Raw genomic sequence first — 27,110 nt, 5'->3', positions numbered from 1 at the left:
AGTCTCAAAAGATTAATTAATTAAACAGAGGTCCATTCTTCTCACATAAAACATAGGCAGTCAATGGCTTTGTTTCAGCTGCCCTACAAAGGCAGGAGTATGGACAGGTGTCCCAACATTCTCTTGGTCTCTTGGTGATAAACTCAGCAAAGTTTCCCGGTAGGCAGCAGGGGGCAACCTAAGCAGAGAGACTCTTCTCACCCTCTGACTTCACATCAAGAAGGAGACTGGGGTCAGACAAAGCAAAAAGATACTCCTTGTCCTTCTTCTCTTACCAGGAGGGGAATCTTTCCCAGAACCACCTCGGAAAATTTCCTTTTTCATCTCATTGGCCAGAAATTATCACAGGATCACTCCTGGACCAGGAATGGAGCCCACGTCCCCCAGAAACTGTGGGAAGTGATATCTGAGCAAAACTGATCATCTGTTGCCAAGGAACACAGGAGCCAATAAACAGTGTCTGCCATGGTGTCGTTATTATTTCCTCCTTTTGACAGATGGGAAAACTGTGGCTTAGAAAGGACAAGTGACAAGGTCACCCAGCTGGTAAGCACTGAAGCCAGGATTCAAACCCAAAACTGTGTGACTGCCATGCCTGCACTCTGAATCTCTATGTGACAGTGCTTCTTTGGGATGAGGTTGAGGCTGTGATCAATCCCTTCATCCCCAGAACAGCAAGCCAGGAGGGCTAGCGGAGACTGTCATCAGTTGTTCTAGAGAGACAAGAACAACAGCCACACTGTGGATCAGTGTCTGGGGTGGCCTGCACCTGCTTCTCCTGACACAGATAGTACATCTGTGAAAGCTCTGTCTTCCTGTGGTTCCACCTGTCTGGGCCTCTTCCCACTGCAGAGCTGGGTAAAGAAGCTGGGCTGGAAAATTCTGCCCCTCTGGCTCGCTCCCTAACCCAGCCACCCTGGGCTGCTTCCTTGACCCTGTTGTGTGGGTTCTTCTCCCTGCTGATTTCTGCAGGGACCCTGACACCCAAAATAATACAAAAGGCGCCCTATATGACTCTACTGCTAACATATTTTCCCCTAAAGTGAAGGCGGCAGATGACATTTCAATGAGAAAATAAATTAGCAGGTAATAAATTTTCCATTCTTTCTCTGTGTTCCTACTGGGCCTTGAAATTAGCAAGAACCAACTGTCACATTAATTTCACTGTTGGGGCCAGCACTAAGGGTGACATCATAGTGCCCCTTGGGACCAGGATTCATTTGCCTGGGTTAGAGGTAGGCAAGGCTGAAGCCCTAACATGGGCCAGGTGAAGAAAGGGAAGCGGATACTCTTCATGAGCAAGTCCCATACAAAGTCCTTTGTGATTTGTTTCTGGGTTTCTGAAAAGGAAGGTGTTAGGTCTCTGAAAAGTTAAAAAAAATATAATGGTTTGGGCTGTGGGGGCAAGAACAGATTTCCAACACTTTGGTCCTGTTACTAAACACACTGCTTGTACCACCATTCCTCTTTCAGGAGGCCTTGTGGGGAAAGAACATCTTGTTGTATCTAAGTGATGGTTTCTGTGTTCCTAGAGAATTTCTGCAACATTATTGAGTGAGACCATCTTGGCGGACAGGAAAGGATTAGCAAGTCCTCGGATTACTTGAGCAATAAAGATATATTGCCATGGGCCTTTTCATTTAGAACTCAGTCTTGGTCAATATCAACATCTTAACGGCAAGTCAAATAAATCGCAGTATCAACCACAGTGGAAGTGTCAATGCCTGCTGCCAGCAACTTAGTTTATGGTGAATCAAGACCTCGAATGAGGCTTTAAATTTGCTGATGCTTTTTTCTGTGGGGTTTGTCGCGGCTCACCCAGCCAGATCGATTCGATGTGTCGTGCTGGGGTGGAGGAAAAGGTTTGTGGCTCTTAGAGTATTAGCAAGTTCATTTCACGCTGATGCAGCGACAGAGGCCGGGGAAGGTTTACAGAAGCCGCATTCATCAAGCCAGCTGGTCACCCACGACCTCCCTCGGGCTTGGAACAGAGAGGCAGAGAAGGGAGGGGACTGCGGCTGGCAATTCACAGAGAACACTGTAGCTTTCTTTGGCAGTGGGGGCAGGCAGTGAAGAGGGGACAGGATTTGGAGGCTCGGATGGCTCCCTTAGGACTGCCGTGGGATGTTTTCACAGCCTGCAGAGAGGAGCCAGATGTGGGCAGTGGCCTCGTTCACTTCAGCCTTCAGGAGCTATTTGGGGCTAAGGGCTTCTCCTTTCCCAGAGAGTTTGTGGCAGATTGACTACAAAAATGGCCCTAATCTTTCATCCCTCCCACAGCATTTGCAATGTGACTTGATAGTTCCTCTCATCAAGGGGTTCAGCCTATTACCCTGTTCTTTGAATCTAGGCTGCCTTGTCATTTACTTTGACCAATAGAATGCAGCAGAAGTGACAGCATGTCAGTTCCAAGCCAAGGCCTTGAGACCTTTGCCCACCTCTCTCTCTCTCTCATACACACACTCGCTCACTAGCTCCCCTTGCCTCCATCATAAGAACAAAAGCAACTAGACTTCTGGAGTATGAGCTAGCATGTGGAAAAGATCTGAATCACCCCAGCTGAGGTCATCCTAGACCAATCAGCCTCTGGCCAACCTGCCAACTGACCACAGATGCATGAGCAAGCCCAGCTGAGACCAGCTGAGCCCAGCCCAGATCTGCAGAAAGGGCTAGCCAGTCCATAAACCTGTGAGCCATGATAAATAATTATTGTTTTAAGTCAGTGAGGTTTGGGGGATAGTTTTCTATTGAGCGTTCTTGTGGCAATAGATAACTAATACAGAGTTCATCAGATTGTTTTCGTAACCAGAGCCATTCCCCTGGACTTTAGGGTTTCTGATTCTTTGAGGACCAAAATTCTACCAGCTGGCACTAAAAGCCTGAAGCTTGTATACACATGTGAGAAAAGCAACCCACAAGACCAGTCCGTCCCTTCCCCAAATAGACTGCCAGCAAAAAGGCTGCTGTCGTCATTCACATTCGCTCAGTTTAATTTCTTCTTAGGGATAAAGGTCATGATTTCCAAGACAACCAGCCAGCTTTAGTTCCAGGACTCTGGACAACACCACCTTTTTTTTTTTTTTTTTTCTGTAATGGATGGGCAAATGTCCATCTGGCCTCCACCTCCCCACTCTGCCTCTGAGTCACTGAACCGTTTGGATTAAGTGGCAGGGGCCAGCCATTTCAAGCCAAAAACATAAGTGTATCTGTCTTAGTTTTCTGTCACTGTCATAACAAACTACCACAAACTTGGTGGCTTAAACAACACGAATTTATTATCTAAGTGTTCTACGGATCAGAAGTCTAACCTGGGTCTCATTGGGCTGAAATCCAGGTGTCACCAGGGCTGCATTCCTTTCTGGAGGCTCCAGGGGAAAATCTGTTTCCCTGTCTTTCCAGCTTCCAGAGGCTGCCCTTCTTCCTTGGCTCATGACCTGTTTCCTTCATTGCCAAAGCCTGCAACAGTGGATCAAGTTCTTCTCACATCACATCTATCTGACCTATTGTTCTGCCTCGGCTGTTCCACTTTTAAGGACTTAGGTGATTAAATTGGACCCAATTGGATAATCCCAGATAATCTCACCATCTCAAAGTCCTTAACCTTAATCACATCTGCAAAATCTAATTTTCTATGTAAAGTAACATATTCACAGGTTCCAGGGATTAGGACATGGATATTTTTTGGGGGGTCCATTATCCTGACGACCACAATATTATTGAATCTTTGTATAACAAGAATTGAGAGAAAGGAAAGCTGTTCCTTTCTTGGACATCTCCATGGAATTGATGGGCCTACACCTGGAATTCTATAAAATGGGCTCATGTTGGAAAAGACAGGAGGGATGGAAATGAACCAGGGTCAATAAGACCCCATAATTCATCCACAAAGTTGCAAGGTTTCTCTCCCTCCATAAGATGGTGATCTTACTACTAAGGAAGCAGGATTTGGCTATCAGTTCAAAGGCAGGATTAGATAGCTTTAGTCCAGAAGAAACACAGCTCTTCATGATGCCATACCCCTGCATAGAACTTCCAGAAGTTGGTGATACCCTTTGTGGCAATTTCAGGGGGACCAATCAGGAGCCATGTTAGACTCTACAACCAACAAGGTTCTATCCTGGTTTACTGAATTCGGGCACTAATTGCTGACAGGGTACAGAGATAATCCTAAAGACATTCTGCCCTCAAAGCATTTATAGGCTAGAGCATTATGCAAAACAGATACATAAATAAATGACTATTTACAATTTTAGAAGGAGAAAAGCACAAAAAAAATACAGATAAATTGTGACAGAAATTCAGAGCAGGAAAAGATGGAAAAGGTAAAGAGTGGCTAGTGAGAGGAGGAGGAATAAAGAAGAATCTGAAAGGCCAGGCATGGTGGCTCACACCTGTAATCCCAACATTTTGGGAGGCCAAGGCAGGAGAGTCCCTTGATCCCAAGAGTTTGAGACCAGCCTGGGCAACAGAGTGGGACCCTGTCCCAATTTAAAAAAAAAAAAAAAGAAGAAGAAGAAGAATCTGAGAAGGCTTTTTGAAAGAATTCAATGAAGCATAAAACAAATTTAAGTGCTGAATTTTATGGTTTAAGCCAGGGCAGATAGTAAATATTTTAGGCTTTGCAGTTTATATGATCTCTGCTGCAACTATTCAACTCTTCTGTTGTAATGCAAAGGCAGCCAAAGACAATATGTAAATATGTGAGCATGGCTGTGTTCCAATAAAACTTTATTTATAAAAATAAGCACTGAGTCAGATTTGGCCCACAGGCTATAGTTACTGATCCCTGTTTTAAGCCATGATGTAGCACCCAGTGAAAGCTAGCATAATCATGAACAGATTTATAAACGATACAGTGCTTTGGTTAAGCTTTGATGAAAAAACAGAACTGGAATATGCAGCAAGAACAATCATAAAAAAGGTGCAATTAACAATTTGTGTGAGATATTAAAGAGACCAGGCCCTTAAGAGTTTCAAATGGAGAATTTTGGAAGGGGAAAATGCTTGAAGTAGAACTAGTTTGAGTAGGGTGGTTTTATGGAAAGCTTTGATAGATAAATAAGAAGTTTAGGCTAAGACAATGCGAATTAGGCAGACACTGAGAGTTTTTCAACTAGAAAATGATGGCATGCAAATATTTTTCAAATCACTAAATTCAAGAATTGGCCTCTGGGGCCATGAAGCATGCAAAACAAGGGTGCTGAGGCCTTTCCTCACAATCCAGGAGATACAAAAGGTGAATTTTTTTTTTTTTTTGAGACGGAGTCTCACTCTGTCCCCCAGGCTGGGGTGCAGTGGCACGATCTTGGCTCACTGCAACCTCTGCTTCCCGGGTTCAAGCAGTTCTCTGCCTCAGCCTCCCCAGTAGCTGGGATTACAGGCACCCGCAACCACGCCTGGCTAATTTTTGTCTTTTTAGTAGAGACAGTATTTCTAGTTTCACCATCTTGGCCAGGCTAGTCTTGAACTCCTGACCTCGTGATCCACCCAACTTGGCCTCCCAAAGTGCTGGGATTACAAGCGTGAGCCACCACGCCCAGCCAGGTGAAATTCAAAGTTAAAAATTTGCCCGTTTGCCCGGGCGTGGTGGCTCATGCCTGTAATGCCAGCACTTTGGGAGGCTCAGTTGGGCAGATCACTGGAGCCTAGGAGTTTGAAGCCAGCCTTGGCAACATAGTGAGACCTCATCTCTACAAAAAAAATATAAAAATTAGCTGGGTGTGGTGGTGCACGCCTATAGTCCCAGCTAGTCGAGAGGCTGAAGTGGATCTCTTGAGCACAGGAGGTTGAGGCTGCAATGAGCCATGATTGCACCACTGCACTCCAGGCTGTGTGACAGAATGAGACTCCTTCTCAAAAAAATATAAAATAAAGTAATAAAATAAAACACATAAAACCTTGCCCTTTATCTCCTGGCCAGCTAGTGGCCATCTGCTTCCATACACAAGGAAGGAGCCAGTCTGTACCTCACACATAGCTGGGCCCAGATTCTCAGAAGATTTCAAGTGTCCAATAAGGTCTGGGTTTGGCTTCCCTAAAGCAATGGGCATTTGTGTCTTCAGGTCCTCCACAAAAGGGACTCTCCCTCCATCTCTTCCCTGGCTGTCTCCACTTCCTCCACCCCAGAGCCCTCCTGCCTCTGTGAATCACATGTTGTAACAAATGAGATACCAAAGGTTCCGACAAGCTGCTCATCGTTATCCCCAGCAGGAGAAAAGCAGCCATGACCTGGAGCTGGGACCTTGTTAGAGTTTGTAATAAGCTGACGGGAAAATATTTCTGCCTGATTAGAATCCCTAATGAGCTGCTGACTATGATGAGCAGGGAAAGGCTGACTTCCAGCTCTCTCCTCAACCCCGCCCACACCTCTTCCTGTTCTCAAGCAGAGGTCCAGGCAGGAAAGGGTTCTTTGCCAGCAGTTAAAACCACAAAAACAAACACAAAACAGCCCCAGCAACCCTCAGCCCAGTCCCCCTTCTCCTGCGCATGAGAAGAAAGACTCCATCTTACTCATTTTTTCATGCACACCGTCCATGGACACCTGCCAACATCCTAATGATGCCACCTGGACCTATCTATAATTGGTGACCCACAGGTCCTGGTGAGGTCCTCACTCAAAAAGAAAGGGAAAGATGGGAGAATACAGCATCTGATGAACCACTGGAAACATGAGACCACAGCCAAATTCCCACAGTGGCCAGACAGAGCAAAATCCCAAAATGCAAACAATGTTGCTCAGTGTCAATTCAGAGAATATTTTGATATTCCCACTTTCTTCCAGTTGACTGGCTTTAGAAAGCATCTGGATTTGCTCCAGAGTGAATTGATCCACCACAATGAAGATTTTTAGAAGGAAAATGAAAACTCAAAACATATTTTGGGGATAGTTCATGGTTTAATAAAAAAATATATATTTGAGTTTAGTTTGAGATTCAGATTGTACTTATGTTCAAGGCCCTGTGGAGAAGCGACTTGAAATTTTGAAAGTTTAAAAGATTTTCATGTAGTCCAGTGTTGTGACCTCAGATGGAAGAAAGATGTTTTGTAACGGTAGAAAATGAAAGTATTCTAGGATTTGGTATTTTTTAAAAATCCCCCTTGGGGTCCCGGTGGGTTCTGTCTGTGGGATACAGCATCTCCCTCTTCATTCCCAAGGGATGAGAGAGAGAGAGACAGAGACAGAGATAGAAAGAGAGAGACCTTCTGCTGTATCCTCCTCAGAAGCAAGCTTTGGCTCTAGGATAAATCGCAAAGAATTAGGCTTTCAGCTGCCACCAAGCATATCACATCAGAGCAGTGGTTCTCAACCTTGGCTGTATATCATTATCACCTGGGGAGCTTTTAAAAGTTTGGCTCCTAGGGCCCACCCCCAGAGATTCTGAGTCAGTTGGTCTGGGGTGTGATTTGGGTATTGAGACCTAAATGTGCAGCTAGAGCTGAGAACGCTAGTCTAGACCAACGTTTCTCAAGCTTGAATGTGTATAAGCGTAGTTGCGATCTTGTTAAAAATGCAGATTCTGGTTCAGTAGGTCTGGGACGGGCCTGAGATTCTGCATTTTCAACAAGCTCCCAGGGGATGCTGATGCTACTGGTCCTTGAACCACTTTGAGTAGAAAGGATCTAACATCCTGAAGTGATGCGACATTTCTTTGACACCGTATTTGCCAGGACTCTGTCCACTGCAATCAGTAGAAATTCAAGTCAAATTGGAATCGTCAAAAGGAGGAATACACGGCTGGGGGTGGTGGCTCACACCTGTAATCCCAACACTTTGGGAGGCCGAAGCAGGCAGATCACTTGAGGTCAGGAGTTTGAGACCACCCTGGCCAACATGGTGAACCCCATCTCTCCTAAAAATACCAAAAAATTAGCTAGGCATGGTGGCATATGCCTGTAGTCCCAGCTACTGGGGAGGTTGAGGCATGAGAATCATTTGAACCCAGGACCTGGAGGTTGCAGTGGTCACACCACTGCACTCCAGCCTGGGTGATAGAGTGAGACGCTGTTTTAAAAAATAATAATAATAAAGAGAGAAAAATATATTGGTACAAATAAATGAGAAGTCTAAGGGTGGCTGGCTTTAGGCATGGCTGCATCCAGGAGCTCAAATTATGTCACTGGGATCTTTTCTTTCTATTTTGCTTTCCATTGAGTTTGCTCCATTTTCAGGCAGGTACTCTCCATGTGGCAACAAAGACGATGATCCCAAGCAGTCCCAGGCTTGCTCCATTCACATAGCTCATGAGGCCCTCTCTCCCTCATCTTCCATATTGGTCCCTGAAAATGACTCATTCTCCCCAGCTTGGGTCATTCGTGCACTGCAGAGCAGGGACAGGCAGAGCTCTCTGGTTAAGAGCCTCACCTGAAACACAGGTATTGGGGAATAACAGTTTTCCAAAGGAAAGTATGCAGGGCAAACCACAGAGGAGCACCACATGAGCTGCTGAGCCTGTGCTTTTAGCCATAGTGCTGCCCTCAGTAAAGCTCAGTGGCAGGAAATCCAGAAAGGAAGTTGTCTTCAAAGACAAAAAACTGACTGCCTGCATCCCAAATATGGCATCAGTCCTTGGCCTCTCTGTACCTCAGTTTCTTCATCTGTAAAATGGAAATCATAATAATATCTACCTCATAGGGTAATTGGATGAATTGCTACACATAAGCTGTTAGAATAATACCTGGCACATGGCTGCAAGTATTTTGATTCATTTGTTATAGCTACTCAGTGCTTAAAATGTTTTGTTTAAAGAAAAATATGAATTAGTTGCCAGTATTTCTTAATCAGGTTTTTGTGTGAAAATCCAGACGTCCAGATTCTTCTGAAAAGTTATAAGATCTGCCCTCATTCTACCTAATGCGGTAATAGCTAGCTGGAGCTGGATCTGGATCACAGCTGGGTACTCCCACTCCATGGTTTATGCCCTTTAGGGAGTTGCTCTCATTTCCTTTAACTCCTCAGCACCCATAGGCATCTGAGTTTGAGACCCTTGCTTTCTGCTTTTTAAAATGCACAGGCTGAATGTACTAGGATGGATGGTGTGCCAGCCACACATTCACCTGGCAGGCCTCACACCTGCTATTCACCCATTTAAAGATGAGGAAGCTGATCTCAGAAAGGCTAACTCACTCAGTGTTGAAAGAGCAGAGCCTCGGAGCCCAGGTCTTTGGTTCCTGATTCAACACCCTTCACCAACCTCTGGGCAAAACCTGACTCAGAAGCAGCTCAGGGAGCACTCTCAGTGCTGGCAGTGGGGTGGGATGGAAAAGGCCTGAGGGCTGCCCGGCAGCTCACACCTATACTCCCAGCAATTTGGGAGGCTGAGGCAGGCAGATCACTGGAGCTCAGGAGTTCGAGACCAATCTGGGCAACATAGCAAAACCCTATCTCTACAAAAAAAAATAGAAAAATGAGCCCAGCGTGGTGGTACGTGCCTGTGGTCCCAGCGACTGGGGAGGCTGAGGTGGGAGGATCACTTGAGCCCAGATTCGGCCACAGCACTCCAGCCTGGGTGAAAGAGCCAGACCCTGTCTCAAAAAAAAGCAGGGATGGGGGGAGGGGGCACCTGAGGGCTCTGCCCACCCTTCCTGGCTCTATGGACACTAGGGGCCAAGACAGCTGACTCTCAAGTAGGGTTACTAGATAAAATTCAAATGCCCAATTAAATTTGTATTTCATATAAATTTCAGATAAATGACCGATTTTTTAATGTAAGTATATCCCATGCATTATTTAAGATATACTAAATTTTTATACTAAAAATTTCATTGATTTTCAATAAAGGATGAATTATTTTACTATGTTTCAAATGCATAAGGCTTCCATATGCTAAAATAAAAGGGTTCATTTATCTGAAATTTACACGTAACCCGGTGCCCCGTACTTTTTTATTTGCTAAATCTGGCAACACAGCCATACAAAAGCCTGAGGGGGAAAAGAGCAGGGACCTTCAATCCACGGCTGCTTAGGAGCTCTGGCTTGGGAGGGACAGCAGCAAAGCAGCCCACCACCCCTCATCCTCACCCAAAATCAGAACTTTTGTTGTCCTCCTGACACTTATTTTCCGAGTCAGTGCTGTTTTTATTTCGTATTGTGGGCGCCATTCCTGTCTCAGTGATGAGGCCTCCAAGGGTCTTCATTCAGCCCTGCCACTGCCTCATTTCTGCAGTCACCAGGAAGCCCACCAGTGGTGGGAAACAGCGGGGATGGTGGCCAGATGATTCAGGTTTTTGGGGGGGCGACGGAGGGGCGGAATTGGTTGCTTTTTTTTTTTTTTTTTTTTTTTTTTTGAGGCTTTATCAATGCTAAATTCCTCGTGGGCTGAGAACAAGGCGAGTTTCTAGGGGCCCCTGGACTGCGCCCTGCCCTGCCGAGAGCGGCGAGACCGCCCGGGAGCCGCTGCTCCTGGGAACCGCAGGCGGGCTGAGTTTGTTCCAGGGCCGCTTGCCCGCCGGTCCGCCGAGCCTTTGCCCAGGTGGAGGCTGCTCCTGCGCTCCCGGGCCGTGGACGGCGCAGACACCCAGCGGGACTGCCCCCGCAGCTAGGGCTCTCGGCCTTCATTGGCAACCACAAGGGCCTGGGCTGGGGGAGGGCAGCAGGCGGAGCCCAGGCCTGGCTGAGGGAGCCTCTGCCCTCCCCGGATCCCAATCTGGGGCGGCGCGATAGCCCCTGCAGGCACCTGCCCAGGTGAAAGGGGCGGAGGAAGCGCGTGGCAGCCGAGTACGCAGGAGCGCGTGCGCGCGGACACAGGAACACGCACGCGCACACACACACGCACACACAGCCCGGCCTTGACTTGGGCCCAGCCGACCTCCCTGCCAATCCACCCACCTCCTAGGGTTAACAGTCAGCCCCGAGGCAGGGCCAGCTGTTCTGGGTGGAAGGCGACAGCTCGAAGACGCGCTAACCTCCAGCTCCGCCTGTCGCACTATTTCCTAACTCCTGAAACCCCAGGCTGCAGGTCAACACCAAAGCAAATTTATTCAGGGAGAAGAGGGGCTGCCTCTACCTCCTGCAAAGAGGCCAGCAACTGTGGCCAAAAGATGGGACCACGCACAAGGGGCAGTTCCCAGGGAGCCCAGTGCAGAGAGGATGCCCCGCCCCTAAACTGTCAGGGTCCTGTTGCTCTTGTCTTCTAAGCCTCCCTCACTACCACCCCCACCTTCCTTCTCCCAGTCCAGCCATCATTCAACTAACCCTGTTTTGTCTTCTGCTTTGCACTTCGCACTACCTGATGGTACATATTTGTTTGTTTATTGCCTCTCTCTCACCTGGCCCCTTCTAACACCCCCAGCACCTACAACAGTACCTGACATACAAAAGATCCTTCAGCATTGTGGTGGACGCTATAATAGCGTTGCCTCCGCTGAAGAGAGCTGCCTGGCCCAAGTCACGGCATCCTCCCCAGGTTGGACTGATGGAGGTCCAGCATCTGTTTCCAATTCCGAACAACTTTGAGGAGCACGTCTAGCTCCCGAGCGTTCTGTGGGGTTAGCTGAGGCTGTTGCATGGTCTCCCTTTGTGCACTCTTAAATCTGTCCCGAACTCCTCAAACAGCCTGCGCAACAAACTCTGTCTCAGTTGGCTTCCCAGGAAGCCCAACCACAAACCACAGCAATAAATATTTGTGGAATAAAAGTGGGGGCTGGAGGAGAAAGGGCTTTCTCTTTATTGGAGGACTCTTTATTGTTGATCACCTCCCACATCCAAAAAGTACCTGAAATCTGTGTACTTCTCTCCCCGTCCAATGCCACCACCATAATCAAAGCCACCACCCTCTCTTGTTTGGTGCCCTGCTTACCTCTGCAGCAGCCACTGTTGATGCCCGCCCCAGACCTCCTCCACCCTCTTCTGAGCTCATCTGCAGCTGCGGCGGAGGATTACTGAGACCCCTAGGGGGCAGCTCCCACCTCTAGTGCTCCTCCACTTGAGGGCGTTTTCCAGCACCACAGGAGCTTGTTCAGCCTCTAAGCAGGGCAGCCCACAAGGGTTAGGGATTTAACACCCCCAGGGACGCTCCTCAACCCACAGGAGCAAGAGTCAATAGATAAATACCCCATCTTATCCCTCACGTTCCACAAAGTGGGCTTCAGCCCCAGGTGCCCACAGCGGCAACCCATCATTAATCTGCCCTTTATTTACTGGCATTTCTGTCTTCTCTCCTCCTTTCTCACATTTCCTCACTTGTGCTTCCCAAATAACAACCACCTGCACCCCACTCCGTGTCTCAGTGTCTGCGTTTGGGGAAATCCGCACGAGGCCAGCCCCCTACCCAGCCTCGTCTCTTCAACTTTGCTGCTTTGAGCCTCCAGAAGACAGCCTTGCAGAGACACTGGCCTTATCTCAGCTTCTTTCATGCCACAGGGACTTCAGTTGTGCGACTCAATGTATTCTTTCATTCAGCAACTATTCATGGAGTGCCAACTGTTCAAGGCACTGGGATACAGCAGCAAAAAAGAGTCAAAAATCTTTGCCCTCATGGAACTGAGGGTGTCCATCTACCATTAAGTCTCAGCTTCAGCATCCCATCCTCAAAGTCATTGTACCTGTCCTGCCCCTCCCCCATCTAACATCCCCTAATAACTACCCCCACAGAGCTCAGTCCTTGCTCGTCGTATCTGTCACCGGATGATTCTGTCACCACCATACGGACTCCATCAGCACAGGTCTATGCCTCTGTAACCCAATGCCCACTGTACCCTCTGCCCTTAGCATGATGCTTGGTGCCCCATTAGGGCTCAGAAAACATTGGAATGATAATGAACGAACTAATGCCACCATTGTCGTGACTGAAAGATGAGACGAGAAGTGAGAAACTCATCCTCATGAGTGGATAAGGAGAGGCAGTCAAGGAGGAAAATTTCACAATGACCAGTACTTGGACAGCACTAAGGCTGAGATGACCACAAATTTTGGAGTCCTAGACCATCTGGTAGCATCAGGAATGTCCCTAGGGCCTGGAAATAGTGGCAAGAAGGAGAAACAGGAAGATGCAGAAAGGTCAGGTCATCAAAAGCGTATCTCTCTCCTTCACCATCTCCCAGCCACAGAATGTCAGAAATGGAAGGACGCTCAGAGACCATCCATTCTCTCATTTCACAGGTGAGAAGACCAAGGCTACAGGCCCCTTGGCCTAGTGAAGGGCCTACGATTAGTGACAAGCTTCCAAACTCTAAGCTCATGGCTTGCTAATCTGAGCCTCAAGGTGGTCCATTGTAGGCTTGCAGTGGACTGAATGTTTGTGTCTCCCAAAATTCATGTGTTGAAGCCCCAGTCCCAGTGTGATGGTATTTGGAGATGGGGCCTTCAGGAGGTAATAGGTCACATAGGTGGAGCCTTCATGAATGGGATTAGTGCCCTCATAAGCAGCCCCATGGAGCTAGTGAGCTCTCTTTCTGCCATGTGAGGATACAAGGCAGCTGTCTGCAGCCTGGAAGAGGGCCCTTACCACAACCCAACCGTGCTGGTATCCTGAGCTCAGATTTCCCAGCCTCCAGAACTGTAAGAAGTAAATGTTTGGTGTTTAAGCCCCCCAGTCTATGGTAATTGGTTATATCAGCCGGAATGGACTGAGATAGGGCTATAGGCACAGCCTCTCAAGCCACTGCCCTTAGCCATTTGAAGCTCATTGTTCCAGGGGAGAGGGCTTCCAGGCTATGCACCAGCAATCAGTGACTCATAGGATGGCAAACCCCTCTCTTTGGAACCTAACACTTTCTCCTTTCTTGCTCCCCACAAAAGACTGTTCTAGGGAGACTCCTGCTTTCTAGAACTTATGCTTTGGATTCCAACAACTCCTCTCAAACTCTTGCCCTATTCCCACATTTAGGGCTCCTCAAAAAAGCTCAGTGTCCCCAGGAGAGTCTGTGCATACCACATGTGACTTGGACAATAAAAGCAAGCCTCCCTCATTGACACCGTACAAGGTTCTGCCCATTCTTTTGGATTTTGTCCCAGAAATAAGCCTCAGCCCAAACTGAATGGCAGATTGTCAATGACGACTAGGAAGTGTCCCAACCAGTCTTCTTATACTTTGTCTTCAGTGTATCAGAAGAATGAGCAAACATACAGAAAAAAAAAATAGCCCACATGTATTGAAGGCTTAGTATGTGCCAAGAACTAAGGTAAGCACTATATTGGTTTTATTGCAACAATCTTATGAGGTAGGTACTTTTATTATCAGCCCCATTTACTTATGAGGAAACTGAGGCTTAGTGAGGTTAAGTGACTTGCCCAAGGCCACACAGTTCATAGGTGAAAGTATTAGAAATCAAGCTCCATCTCCTTCCTAGCAACCCTACCCCCACTTCTCTCCCCTCTCTCAGACTGACTCTCTTGCTCTCTCTGTCTCTCTTTTACACACACACACCCACACACACACACACACACACACACCCATTGTTATGCAGAGAAGTGGATAGGGAGTTAGTGGTGTGTCCTGTAGGGTGTATTTCTTTAGAGCATTTACAGTTTTAAAGTGGATGTCTAAAGAGGCAATACTAACCAAAGAATGGGTGGTTCTCTGCCTTAGAGTGTCCCAGTTGTAATTTGTTACTATTAACAGCGAAGGAACTAAAATTTGGGCATTAGCTGCTTTTTGGAAAACTAGAGTGAATTCAAGATCCTCTCTAAAACCCCACAGTCACTTGGATTTGACACGTATTCTTGAGTGGAAGCAAGAGGATGGCATGACAGCTAGTTCACTGGTAACTGCATAACCCACAACCCATTTTGATTATGGCACATCCAAGTGAGTAATTATGACAGGTGTATTATTAATAGTTGTGGCATTTAGAAAGTAGTATAGCATTTTCTTTCTCCCAGTATTTTTAGACTTTATCAAAATTTGAGTATCCCCACGGGAGTATATTCCCTGACATGGGAACATCATCCATCATGCATGTGGCAGTTGGAAAGAGAAGCTCTAAAAAAAAAAACTGCAGGCACAGAAGGCTCTTTGCTGAGCTATATAGGAAGCCCCGACAGTGGGTAAGGCACTTTGTATTTATTCAAGAAGGTCCCTGACCCTACATCTTCCATGAAATCTTCCTCTATATTCTGTCATTACATGCCAGGGCCAGGTAGACTTGCAAAGGGAATGACTAGTGTGCAATTGGTCCTCAGGTGACTGATGCAAACATTTATTCATTCATTCATTCATTTATTCACCCACTTATTTACTGAACTGATATTTATTAGCACTTGCTATGTAGCAGACATAGTACTCTGCATTGGGGTTACTTTGCTCATTCAAGTAAACCTAGTCTCTGCCTTCATAAAGATTACAGTCTCAAAGATGATGATACCCATGACAGTCAGACTCTGTGCAGAAGAGAGGACCAGATGTCAGCCTAGGTCTCCATGGGGTTCATGCATTCATTCAGCAAACATTTAGTAAATGTGACTGTTGCTGGGACACAGGAAAACTCAGACAAGAGTTCAGAGTCAAGAGGCAAATGCAGAATGCCAACGTGGCACAGTAAGTTCTGCAGAGTTCAGTCATGACATAAGTGCATGTAACATTTGTGCATGCATTAAACAGCAAAAGAGAGAGAGAGAGAGAAAGCAATCAGCTAAATAACACAGTGATTCATCTACCATTCCTTTCAGTAAGCAATGCCCCAGCATTGACCTGAGATAGCAAAGGTGAAACTTGTGTATCTTCAGTATTTTCCAGTTCCCATGTACCTCTCTTGGTGTGATCATTGCCCACCTCACTGACATCCATTTATTATTGAAAACACACATTTTTTTCTCCATACAAGGGTCCCTAAGCTCAAGGCACTACTGCATCCAGCAATCAGGCAAAGAATCAGGCATCTGTTTCATCACTGGCTGGACTGGACTTCTCATGGGCTGTGATGTATTTAACAGGTAGGGTAACCAGATAGTTTATCATCCAACTGCTGAGAGAGAAGTGAGGCACTATTAATAATTACACCAGAAGATGAGGCATAAACAGATTGTCCTGGGAAAGCCACACATAGGGCATCCATCTTCACAGGTAGGTGAGTTAAGGGATTCTTATTTATTTATTCTTTAATCTAAAAAGAGAGGCTCGGTGCAGTGGCTCCTGCCTACAATCCCAACATTTTGGGAGGCCAAGACAGGAGGGTCACTTGAGGCCAGGAGTTTGAGACCAGCCTGGCCAACATGGCAAGACCTCGTCTCTATGAAAAATAAATTTAAAAATACAAAGAAGGGTTTTTTTTAAAAGAAAATAATGGGTTTTGCTCTACAGGTATTAAATGTAAAAATGTTCTCTGGTTTTCATTTTACTTTTACTTTAAAATAGATTAAAAGTTCACCGTTTATTCAAAAGTGAAAACTCCTCCTCCCAGTCCTGTCCTCAGCCATTCACTTGCCCCAAGAGGCAACCAATGTCACTAAATTCCTGCAGGTCCTTCCAGAGATGTTTAATGCATATTCAAGCATATATATATATATATAGATATAGATATATAGATATATAGATATATATATAGATATATACACATACACACACACACACACACACACACACACACATATATATGTGCTTGGCTCAATTCCCATGGCTCTTCCAATACCATCCAACATAAGGAAAGTATGACACAGGGAAAATCAGAGTAGAAACAGACAGCAGTCTTCATAGTTGCAGTTGAAATAAACTTTTGCAAAGATGGTTACAAAAGCACATGACCATGTGATACTTTGCTAGGCCCTCCCAAGGCCTTGGGAGAGGTTTCTAGAGGCAAGTGAGGGGCTTAGCAGCTTAAGCGCCATTACCCTGTGGTAGACACCATTGGCCAGCAGGGTTCTACATACAGTCTGATCAATCAGTTGTGCATGATTTGGAAGGTGGAAGGGAGGCAGAAGCCCTTTTTCCACTGCAGCAGTAGAGGGTGAGGCTGGCTTCAGCAGATATGAGTTTGTGGAGTGGCCACTGGGCTCCGTATTCCACAATTCATCACCGACTTTGGAGCTATAGACTGTAAATTAGCTATGTGGGTCCTGCAGCAGCTTTCACCTATTTTTGGTTTGTTTGTTTGATTTAATGGAATTTCCATTTTAGCATGCAGGAAATAAGAGAGAGGAATACAACACTATATATATATATTAGCACGGCATTCACACTATTTTGCATTTACTTTTTCTTTTAACAATATGCATTAGAGATAATTCTGTATCAATACAACAAGCTTCCTCCTAATATATGATGCATATTATTTCACTGTGGATATGCATAATTTATTTAACCTGTCCCCATGGATGGACATATAGATTGTTTCTCATCTTTTGCTGCAATGAATGACCTTGACCATACATCATTTTGCCTATGTGCCCGAATACCTGCAGGGCAAATTCCTGGAAGTGGTATTGCCGTGTCAAAGGACAAATACATATATCAGTTAGGATTCTGTTCGGTTGCTCACAACAGAAAAGGCAAGATAACAGTCACTTGAACAAGAAAGAGGTTTATTTCTCCCTCAAATAAAAGGAGTCTGGAGGTAGGCAATCCAGGGCTGCCATGAGGCTTCCCAATGTCATGAGGGACAAGAATTCTATCCTTTTGCCCTGCCATTCTCTATCCAAAGTTTATACAACTGCAGAAGCCTTTTTTAAGTATTAGGTTGGTGCAAAAGTAATTGGAGTTTTTGCACCAACCGAATAACAAAATACAAAATTGCAAATAGTTATATGGAATGAGAAAAAAAATCACAACATATTGTAAATTTTAAAAAGCTGTAAGACTACAAACATCACAAAATCCAGGAAAAATAATGTTATATTTATTCAGCTGCTCAATATACCTTTATAATAGGGTTTTTTCCCACACTTTGGGGGTTATATTATCTTTGATCACTTTTTCACAGGACAAGATTTTGCAATATTATCTTCTGGAGAAGAAATAGAAAGACAATTGATGTTTTCCTCTAGCATAGCTTATTATTTTTATTATTGACAGCTGTTACGTATAAAACATATGAGACATTCATTGTTTATAGTATCGTGACAGGTTTGTGCCTTACAAATATAAGAATTCTGATAAACTCTATAATTCATGATGCCCATTTAAAAAACTGGTATATTTATAAGTGTATAAGCTAAACTACTGGGCATATTTCTCACAGGAAAAAGCTTCCATTTTGACTAGGCATCAATGAGTAGCAAATTGTCTACTTAGAATTTCACACAACTGATAAGTGGAAGAATATTACACAGACTGGTTTCCAGATCATGCATTTTAATCTCTTTCCTCCTCCACTACCAACATACTTCTGATGCTGTACATAGAACACATTCTTCTTGTGATCTGACCTCTCGCCCTGCGCTTTTGTGTCATAAAGCCAGGTGAGCTGGCACTGTAAGCAGTAGAGGTACTCATAGAACCATTCCTATGAGAGAATGACTAGCAAATAACCGCAAATTACAGAAACACCCGCCAAACACCGGCTAAATGCATCCCAGCTCAACTTCCTCTTAGCTGGATCCCAAAAATTCCCATGGCTCTTCCAATACAATCCAACATAAGGAAAGTACGATACAGGGAAAATTAGGGTAGAAACAGACAGCAGTCTTAATAGTTGCAGTTGAAATATACTTTCAACTTGCAAAGATGGTTACAAAAGCATACGACCATGTGATACTTTGCTAGGCCCTCCCAAGGCCATGGGAGAGGTTTCTAGAGGCAAGTGAGGGGCTTAGCAGCTTAAGCGCCATTACCCTGTGTTAGATGCCATTGGCCAGCAGGGTTCTACGTACAGTCTGGTCAGTCACTCATGCATGATTTGGAAGGTGGAAGGGAGGCAGAAGCCCTTCATCCACAGCAGCAGTAGTAGGTGTGGCTGGCTTCAGCAGACCTGAGATTGTGGAGTGGCAACTGGGCTCCATATTCCTCAGTTCATCACCTACTTTGGAGCTATAGGCTGTAAATCAGCTATGAGGATCCTGCAGCAGCTTTCACCTGTTTTTTGTTTGTTTGTTTGTTTGATTTAATGGAATTTCCATTTTAGCATTCAGGAAACAAAAGAGAAGAATACAATGAACACTCATGTACCATCCACCTGGTCTCAGCCATTGTTAATATTTGGCCATTTTTTGCCTTGTAACTGAATCATTTCTTAGTAAATTAAAAACATCATGACACTTCACCCCTAAATACTTCAACATGTATCTCCAAAACCTAGAGAAAAAATTCCAATTAACAATACCAGAATTATACCTAACAAAAATAGTAATAGTCCCCTAATATCATCCAAAACTCACTTTATATTCAAATTTCTACAATTGTCCTAAAAATGTCTTTTATAGCTTTTCTTTGGAACCAGAATCCAATAAGTTTCATACAGTGAGTTTATTTATTATGTCTCTTAAGTCTTGCCTAATATAGGACAATCCCCCTTCATCATTTTTTTAATGACATTGAGTCTTTGAAGACATCAGGCCCACTGTCATGTAGCATATCCCACATTCTAAATACATCTATTTTCTCATGCTCTCATTTAAGCAGTATTAGTATCTTCTACAAATTGAGGTAGATCTAATGGCTTGTTTTTTTTAAAGCCAGGTTTACTAAGGTAAAACTTAGGCATGGTAAACTTCATCCTTTTTAGTTTACAGTTTTATTTGTTTTGATAAATGCATATAGTCATGTAATCTAAAAACTTGGTTTAATTCAGATTTAATGCAATTGATCAAATACTTTAAATGATGCTATGAACTTCCTATTGGATTTCATATCACATCAGCAGGCACATAATGTCTAGTTGTCCTATTATTAATGATACTAATTTAGAACATTTAGTTCTTATAGCTTTCTGATCTCTGAATGTGCGTTGGTTTTCTATTGCTATGCAAAAAATTACTACAAACTTGGTGGCTTAAAGCAACACCTACTTATTAGCTCACAGTTCTATAGGTCAGAAGGCAGGCGCGGCATTGCTAGGTTCCCGCTTAGGCTATCATAAGGCTAAAATCTGGGTGTTGGCAGCTACATTTTCTTTTTTTTATTTTTTTGAGAGGGAGTTTCACTCTGTCAACCCGGCTGGAGTGCAGTGGCCCAATCATGGCTCATTGCAACCTCCGCCTCCCGGGTTCAAGCAATTCTCCTGCCTCAGCCTCCTGAGTAGCTGGGATTACAGGCATGCACCACCATGCCTGGCTAATTTTTGTATTTTTAGTAGAGACAGGGTTTCACCATGTTGACCAGGCTGGTCTCAAACTCCCGACCTCATGTAACCCGACCTCATGTGATCCACCCGCCTCCGCCTCCCGAAGTGCTGGGATTACAGGCATGAGACACCACGCCTGGCCTACATTTTCATTTGGAGCTCGGAGTCCTCTTCCAACCTCTTTAAGGTTGGAGGCAGAATTCGGTTCTGACTGATCTTAATTGTCAAGGGAAATTTTTTTTTTTTTTTTTGAGACTGAGTCTTGCTCTGTCGCCCAGGATGGAATGCAGTGGTGCTATCTCGGCTCACTGCAAGCTCCGCCTCCCGGGTTCACACCATTCTCCTGCCTCAGCCTCCCGAGTAGCTGGGACTACAGGCGCTTGCCACCACACCTGGCTAATATTTTCTATTTTTAGTAGAGACGGGGTTTCACCGTGGTAGCCAGGATGGTCTCAATCTCCTGACCTCGTGATCTGCCCGTCTCAGCCTCCCAAAGTGCTGGGATTACAGGCGTGAGCCACCGCACCCGGCCTGGTCAAGGGAAATTTTGACTGATGCTACTCAGTGGTGACTTGAGGGAGTACATCTGGAACCCAGAGGATTCTTTGGAATGCCTACTAGTACCTAGTGATGGTTAATTTTGTGTCAACTTGACTGAGCCAAGGGATGCCCAGATTAAATGTTATCTCTGGATGTGTCTCTGAGGGTGTTTCCGAGTGAGCACAGCACCGCCTTACCAGTCACCCTGGCCACAAAACTAGCAAGACTCTGACTCATCTCTTTATCTCAGCACCCCTCTCTCCCCATCCAATCCTCAGCAATCCATTGGCTCTACCTTTAAAATTCATCTAGAACATGATGTCCACAGCCCCACTATGGTCCCCAGCTTATTGTAGCAGCCTCCAACTGTCTTCCCTACTTTCATTCTCGTCACCTAAATCTACTCTTAACACAGCTGTTGGAATGATTTCCTTAAAGCATGTCATATCATGTCACTATGTGACATGTCCGATCACAGTCCTTCATTGGAATCTGATATTATAGTAACAGCCAGCTCTTGCAATGGCCTACAAAGCTCTCCAGAATCTGAGGGTTATGCCAGGTCCAGTCTCCAGTTACCATCTCCATGCTCATAAAAGAAAACAGGAAGAGCATACCAGGAGCGAAGCAAAGCGGTCTTCCAAGGGACTGAACCATGATAACAGAGAGAGCTCTCGGGGTAGGAGCAGCAGACTTGGTTTCTCATCCTTGCTATGCCACTAACTCTAAGGACCTTGAACTACTTATTGCCTGCTCCAAGCATCCCTTTCTTCATTGTGCAGAGAGACAGCTGGCTCACATAATCTCACAGGTTCCTTCCAGCTTGGAAATTCCACAATCGACAATCAAGGTGCCAACTCCATTAACAAGGGAGATAAGTGCATATCATAGACATACCTTTCCTGCCTAAAGTATCTGAGTTACCAGTACAATGTGTTAAAGGAAAAATAAACACATAACCAGTGCCTGCTAGAAAGGCCTTTTCTGGGAGAAGCAGAAGCTCTAAGAAAATTACTTAGAAAGGAGGAGTTATAAAGAGAACTGGGTGACTGAAAGGCTGTCCATAAAGGCTGGCACTACTCACCTCACAGATGTGTTTATAACCAGTGTGCTCATTCTTTTTGTGTAACAATTATGATAATGGCAAGCAAAAATGTAGACTCCACAACATGCCAGGGAAAAGGCTAGGAATAAACTTAATTCCTGAAAACCTAGATTTAGGAAGCCATGACGCTAAAAAGGCAGAGTTTCGTGCATATACACGGATCTATAAATAAGTTGAAGCTTGTGTTGGTTTATGGACACATCTGGCCATATGCCCGTGCTTAGGTGTACATGCCTATACACACATTCACATATTGGAGCCTGGCTCTTTAAAATGGGGGATAATGACACTGGAAATTATTCTAAGCTTTTCAGAGACATAAATGACCAAACTGCCTCCTGACTCCTGAATTACATTACCCAGAAAGAACTTAATAACATGGTATTATCACTTCTCCTCACTGACAGGATTTCAGGGCTGAAAAGACAAACAAGGAATGCGTTCATAATCACCAGCACAGTCACCTCTGCCGAGCTGCGACCACTGCTAATTCCAGGTAAATGCTTCAGGGTAGACGAAAGCCTAGAGCTGTAATGTAACTTGGTGCTTGGTAATTGTCGCTAGTTCAGCTGGGCCATCACCATCTGAGAAGGGGCCTCCGGGAGCTCATGGAGCCAACAGAGAGTCTCATGGGGTGAAGGGCAGTGAAGAGAGACTACATTATGGGAAACAAAATAGAATTTCTCAGTTCAACTGAGATAATGTAGGTGAAATTCCTTATAAACTGTAAAGTGCTCCACAAATGTGACTGTGAATGTGAGGGGATAGCATTAATGGGTGCTGTTTGTGTTCTCAGGGCTGCCATTTACAGCCGTAGACTGTGCACTGTTCAACTTCTGAGAATGTCATTAGTCTATGTGAATGATGCTCCCTGGAGTTGTGCATTGTGGCAGTCCTGTTGGTTGAAATGGGCCCAGCTGACTGATAAAGACCAATATGAGAGCTAATGTTCTTCTCCTGGACAATGCTTGAGCCTTAATGATGGACCATCCAGGAGATAGTCAACAGTTCTAACAGCAATTTGCCAGTGCTTTGGGAAGTTTGCTTCAGAGTAATTAAAAGGCAACTACAAACAAGATCATTGAGGGAAGGAGCCATATCTTATTCATATCTTAGTATCCCAGTCTTGCAATATGTTTGGTATGTGATGAATATTCAGAAAACATTTGTTGAATTTAAGATGAATAGTGAGTGGATGGTGCCAGGCACGGTGGTTCATGCCTGTAATCCTAACACTTTGGGAGGCCAAGTGAGAACTGCTTGAGCCCAGGAATTTGAGACCAGTCTGGGTAACGTTGGGAGACCCTATCTCTACAAAACAATTTTTTTTTTTTTGAGATGGAGTCTCGCTCTGTTGCCCAGGCTGGAACACAGTGGCGCGATCTTCGCTCACTGCAACTTCCGCCTCCTAGCTTCAAGCAATTCTCCTGCTTCAATCTCCTGAGTAGCTGGGACTACAGGCACCCACCACGATGCCTGGATAGTTTTTGTATTTTTAGTAGAGAAGGAGTTTCACCATGCTGGCCAGGCTGGTCTCGAACTCCTGACCTCGTGATCGGCCTGCCTCAGCCTCCCAAACTGCTGGGATTACAGGCGTGAGCCACCGCACCCAGCCTACAAAACATTTTTAAAAATTAGCCGGCCATGGTGACACACACCTGTAGTCTTAGCTATCCAGGAGGCTGAGACAAGAGGATCACTTGAGCCCAGGAGGACGAGACCGCTGTGAGCTGCTACGATCACGTAACTGCACTCCAGCTTGGGCAACAGGCTGAGACACTCTCTCCAAAAAAGGAAAAAAAACAAGAATGGATTGATATTGATATTGAATGAATGACTCCCTGGGGTCAGCTCCTGGAAAGAATAATTGGGTTGTGATCGTTGCAAAGAGCATGTTTATTTCAACAGGTACAACTGCATACTCTGCCCACGTCACCTTTTTCCATTAATAGGGTTATGGGAAGCCTTTTGTGAAGTCTTCTGTGAAGGGCCATCGACATGTCATGGTTTCAGCAAGAGTTTGTCCAGGATTTGTGATGTGTCTCATCCAGTGCTAGGTGCTGTGGGCCTGTGTGATGGTGATGGCAGTGGGGACAGCAAACAGAGCACAGGTTGTGGTCCTTGTCATCAAGGATCTTCCAATTCAGATGGTTTGGTCACATGTAAGTTCATATAAAAAGTAGAATAATGCTGCCAAGTGGTATGAACCCAAATACCATTGAACAGCAAAAATGGTGAGTGTTACCAGAGGCCATGGCAGAAAGCACAGGATGTCTCCTCTGCCACTTGTTATATGTTCATAAGAAATCTACTTATTTGTCTGAGCCTCTGTGTCCCAGTTTGTAAGACAGGTAATCATGTCTGCCACACAAGATACGGACTAAACTCTTTAGGACACAGGTCCTTAGACAGCAGATTGAAACAGATATTTAAAGTACATAACAGTACCTGACACATGGGAGAAGTTTCCAGAAGGTTGGTTCCTGTACAAGGATTTTTCAGTCACAAGTGCAGAATCCTAACTGATCACAACCTAAGCACAAAAGTGGGGTGGGGAGTGGGGGGACATGACTTATTGATTTATATAACCCCCAAAGTGCAACAATAAATAGGCTTCAGGCATAGCAGGATCCAGGAGCTCAAATGATGTCACCAGGGCTCTGCCTCTATTGCCATTTCTCACACAAGCCATTTCTCACACAAGCTAGAGGGGTAAGAATAGGCAGCAGCAACCTGAGTCCAGGTTAACCCCAGAAGGAGCTCCTCTTCCCAGAAATTGGGGGACGAAAGTCTCCAGGAGGTCTCTGATTGGTGCAAATAAGCTCATGCATCATCCCTTACCCAATCACTGTGGCCAGAGGAATTCGATGATCTGATGGGCAGGGCCTGAGTTCGGTTCCCACTCCTTTGTTGACGCGGGTGAGGGCAGTGGTAGGACCACCCAAACCATGTGGAATGAGTTTCTGAGTGGGAACAGGCTACCTAGTTCTTCTGTAAACTCAGAAGAAATTAATAAAAGTGAGAGCTGCTTGTTTCTCCGGGGTGAAAAATGGGAAAGCTCATATTTCCTTACAGAAACAAAAAATAGGCCGACTCACGGCTGTAATCCCAGCACTTTGGGAGGCCGAGGAAGGCGGATCACGAGGTCAGGAGTTCGAGACCAGCCTGACCAACATGGTGAAACCCCATCTCTACTAAAAATACAAAAATTAGCCAGTCGTGATAGCGGACGCCTGTAATCCCAGCTACTCAGGAGGCTGAGGCAGGAGAATTGCTTGAACCCAGGAGACGGAGGTTGCAGTGAGCCAAGATCGCGCCACTGCACTCCAGCCTTGGCGACAGAGCTACTCTCAAAAAATACATATATAGTATGCGAACGCGAACAGAGTGTGTACGTGTGTGTGTGTGTGTGTGTGTGTGTGTGTGTGTGTGTGTGTGTGTGTGTGTAGCTTCCCTAGGCTGACTAGGGGAGTGGTACCCGCTGGCCGGGCAAGCGGGACTTCCGCGACCCCAGGGAACAGGCAAAAAGCGCAAAGCGCAAAGCGGGGAGCGCATCCGGAGAGGGTCCCCGGAGGCCTGGGGTAGTCGGAGCTGAGCCCTCGTTAGAAGGAGGGCAGTGGCAGGCAAAGGGGAGGGAGGCAGGGACGCGCCCCGCCTGGCTGAACCTGGAGCCGGTGTCTGAGCGGCTATTCTGGACACGCACTGGGCAGGAACATCCTGGCGCCCAGAGGAGAGCAGGGCACCGACACCCAGCCGCTCGCGGTCAGAGCAGCCGGGCAGCCGACCGTGGCCGCCGGGAGGGGCTGAGCCAGGCGCCGGCACAGCCCGCGAAGCCTCCTTCCCTAACGTTCTGTTCCATTTTCTCGGTATTGAAAGTAAAAGGGCGGGGGCAGGGACGGAGGGCTGTTTACCTAACATCCTGTAACTGCGGCCTTGAGTAACCAAGCATTTAACGTCAGAGAGCAGGAGAGAGGGAAGGGGGAGAGAGAGGGAGCAGAGACAGAAATCAAGCATGGGCATAAAATGTGCCGTCACCATCATCACATTCAATCATTTACATGCATGTTTGTCCGGTGCATGCTATTTTTCTAAACTATATTTAGGACACAGGAGTTAGGAGAGCAAGCCCAGAGTGGGACTGCACACATCCCAGCCACCTCCTAGAGCGAGGTACTTAGCCTCTCTGTGCCTCAGTTTCCTCCTTGGTGAAATGAGGTACAGTAGTTGTGAAAATTAGAATGTCGTTTTTACAAAGTATGTTAAAGTACTTAGCACCTAACTATTATTATTATTGACTTTATGGTGCTATAGTCAGGAATTACCATCAACATGGTGCTACCTTTTCTGAGTTTATTTAACCAACTCAGGTATAGAAACACATTTTGGAATTTCTGTTTGTAAAAATATCTGCTGGGCTGAAATAGACACGTAGAAAACATGTCCTGTGATAAGGCTGAATTCTAAGATGGCCCCCCAAATCCCCACACTACTGCCCTCCCACCCCACCCCTACACATCTTGTATAATCACCTCATTTTCAATGTGGGCCAAACCTATGAATAGGATGGGATGTCACTCTGTGATTGGCTTATGTTACCCAGCAAAAGTGAAAAGATTTTGCTGCACAGTCGATTCGGAGTTCATCAAAGGAGATTATCTGGGTGGGCCTGGCTTAATCAGGTGAGAGGAACTGGGTCCTTCCTGAGGTTGGAGAGACCCTCTCCTGCTGGCCTCGAAGAAGCAGCCATGCTGTGAACTGCCTATGGAGGGGTCAGCATTTAGGAACTGAACGCTTCCAGCTGGGTGCAATGGCTCATGCCTGTAATCCCAGCACTTAGGCCAAGGCAGGTGGATCACCTGAGGTTGGAAGTTTGAGACCAGCCTGGCCAACCTGGTGAAATCCTGTCTCTACTAAAAATACAAAAATTTGCTGGGCATGGTGGCGCACGCCTGTAATCTCAGCTACTCGGGAGGCTGAGAGAGGAGAATTGCTTGACCCCAGTAGGCGGAGGTTGCAGTGAGCCAAGTTTGCGCCACTGCATTCCAGCCTGGACAACAGAGCAAGACTCTGTCTCAAAAAAATAAAGGGAACTGAACACCTCAATCCTACAACCACAAGGAAATGAACTCAGCCAACAATCTGAATGAGCTCAGAAGACAACCTGGCACCTCAGATAAGAGCACATCCAGTCAGCTTTGACTGCAGCCTTGTGAGACCCTCTCTGATCAGAGGACCCAACTAAGCTGTGCTCAAACTCCTGACCCACAGACACTGTAGACAGGTGTGTGCTATTTTAAGCCCCTGAGTTACTGCTAAT

The 27,110-nt window shown here is 45.7% G+C and overlaps 1 long non-coding RNA gene across 2 annotated transcripts, besides 1 other annotated feature; it reads right to left on the bottom strand.

The window, feature by feature from the left end:
• Positions 10,587-11,105: an enhancer, noted in NCBI's record as "H3K27ac-H3K4me1 hESC enhancer chr14:78446972-78447490 (GRCh37/hg19 assembly coordinates)". NCBI's record gives its function as "activates a minimal SCP1, AML or CMV promoter by ChIP-STARR-seq in primed H9 embryonic stem cells {active_cell/tissue: H9 hESC(primed)}" and the evidence as "EXISTENCE:reporter gene assay evidence [ECO:0000049][PMID:30033119]".
• Positions 23,669-25,572, bottom strand: LOC105370581 (uncharacterized). Of its 2 annotated transcripts, XR_944052.3 has the most exons (4): positions 25,459-25,572; positions 24,635-24,784; positions 24,242-24,326; positions 23,669-23,861 (listed from the first exon to the last, which is right to left on the bottom strand). It is a non-coding gene; the product is annotated as an uncharacterized LOC105370581 (long non-coding RNA). The 2 variants fall into 2 exon arrangements; XR_944053.3 differs by lacking the exon at positions 24,635-24,784.
• Between the last annotated feature and the right edge of the window lie 1,538 nt (positions 25,573-27,110).

The sequence above is a fragment of the Homo sapiens genome, chromosome 14, assembly GCF_000001405.40.
Source record: "Homo sapiens chromosome 14, GRCh38.p14 Primary Assembly".
NCBI classification, from domain to species: domain Eukaryota; kingdom Metazoa; phylum Chordata; class Mammalia; order Primates; family Hominidae; genus Homo; species Homo sapiens.
Note: the sequence above shows the minus strand (reverse complement) of the source record. Positions and strands in the feature narration are given on the sequence as shown.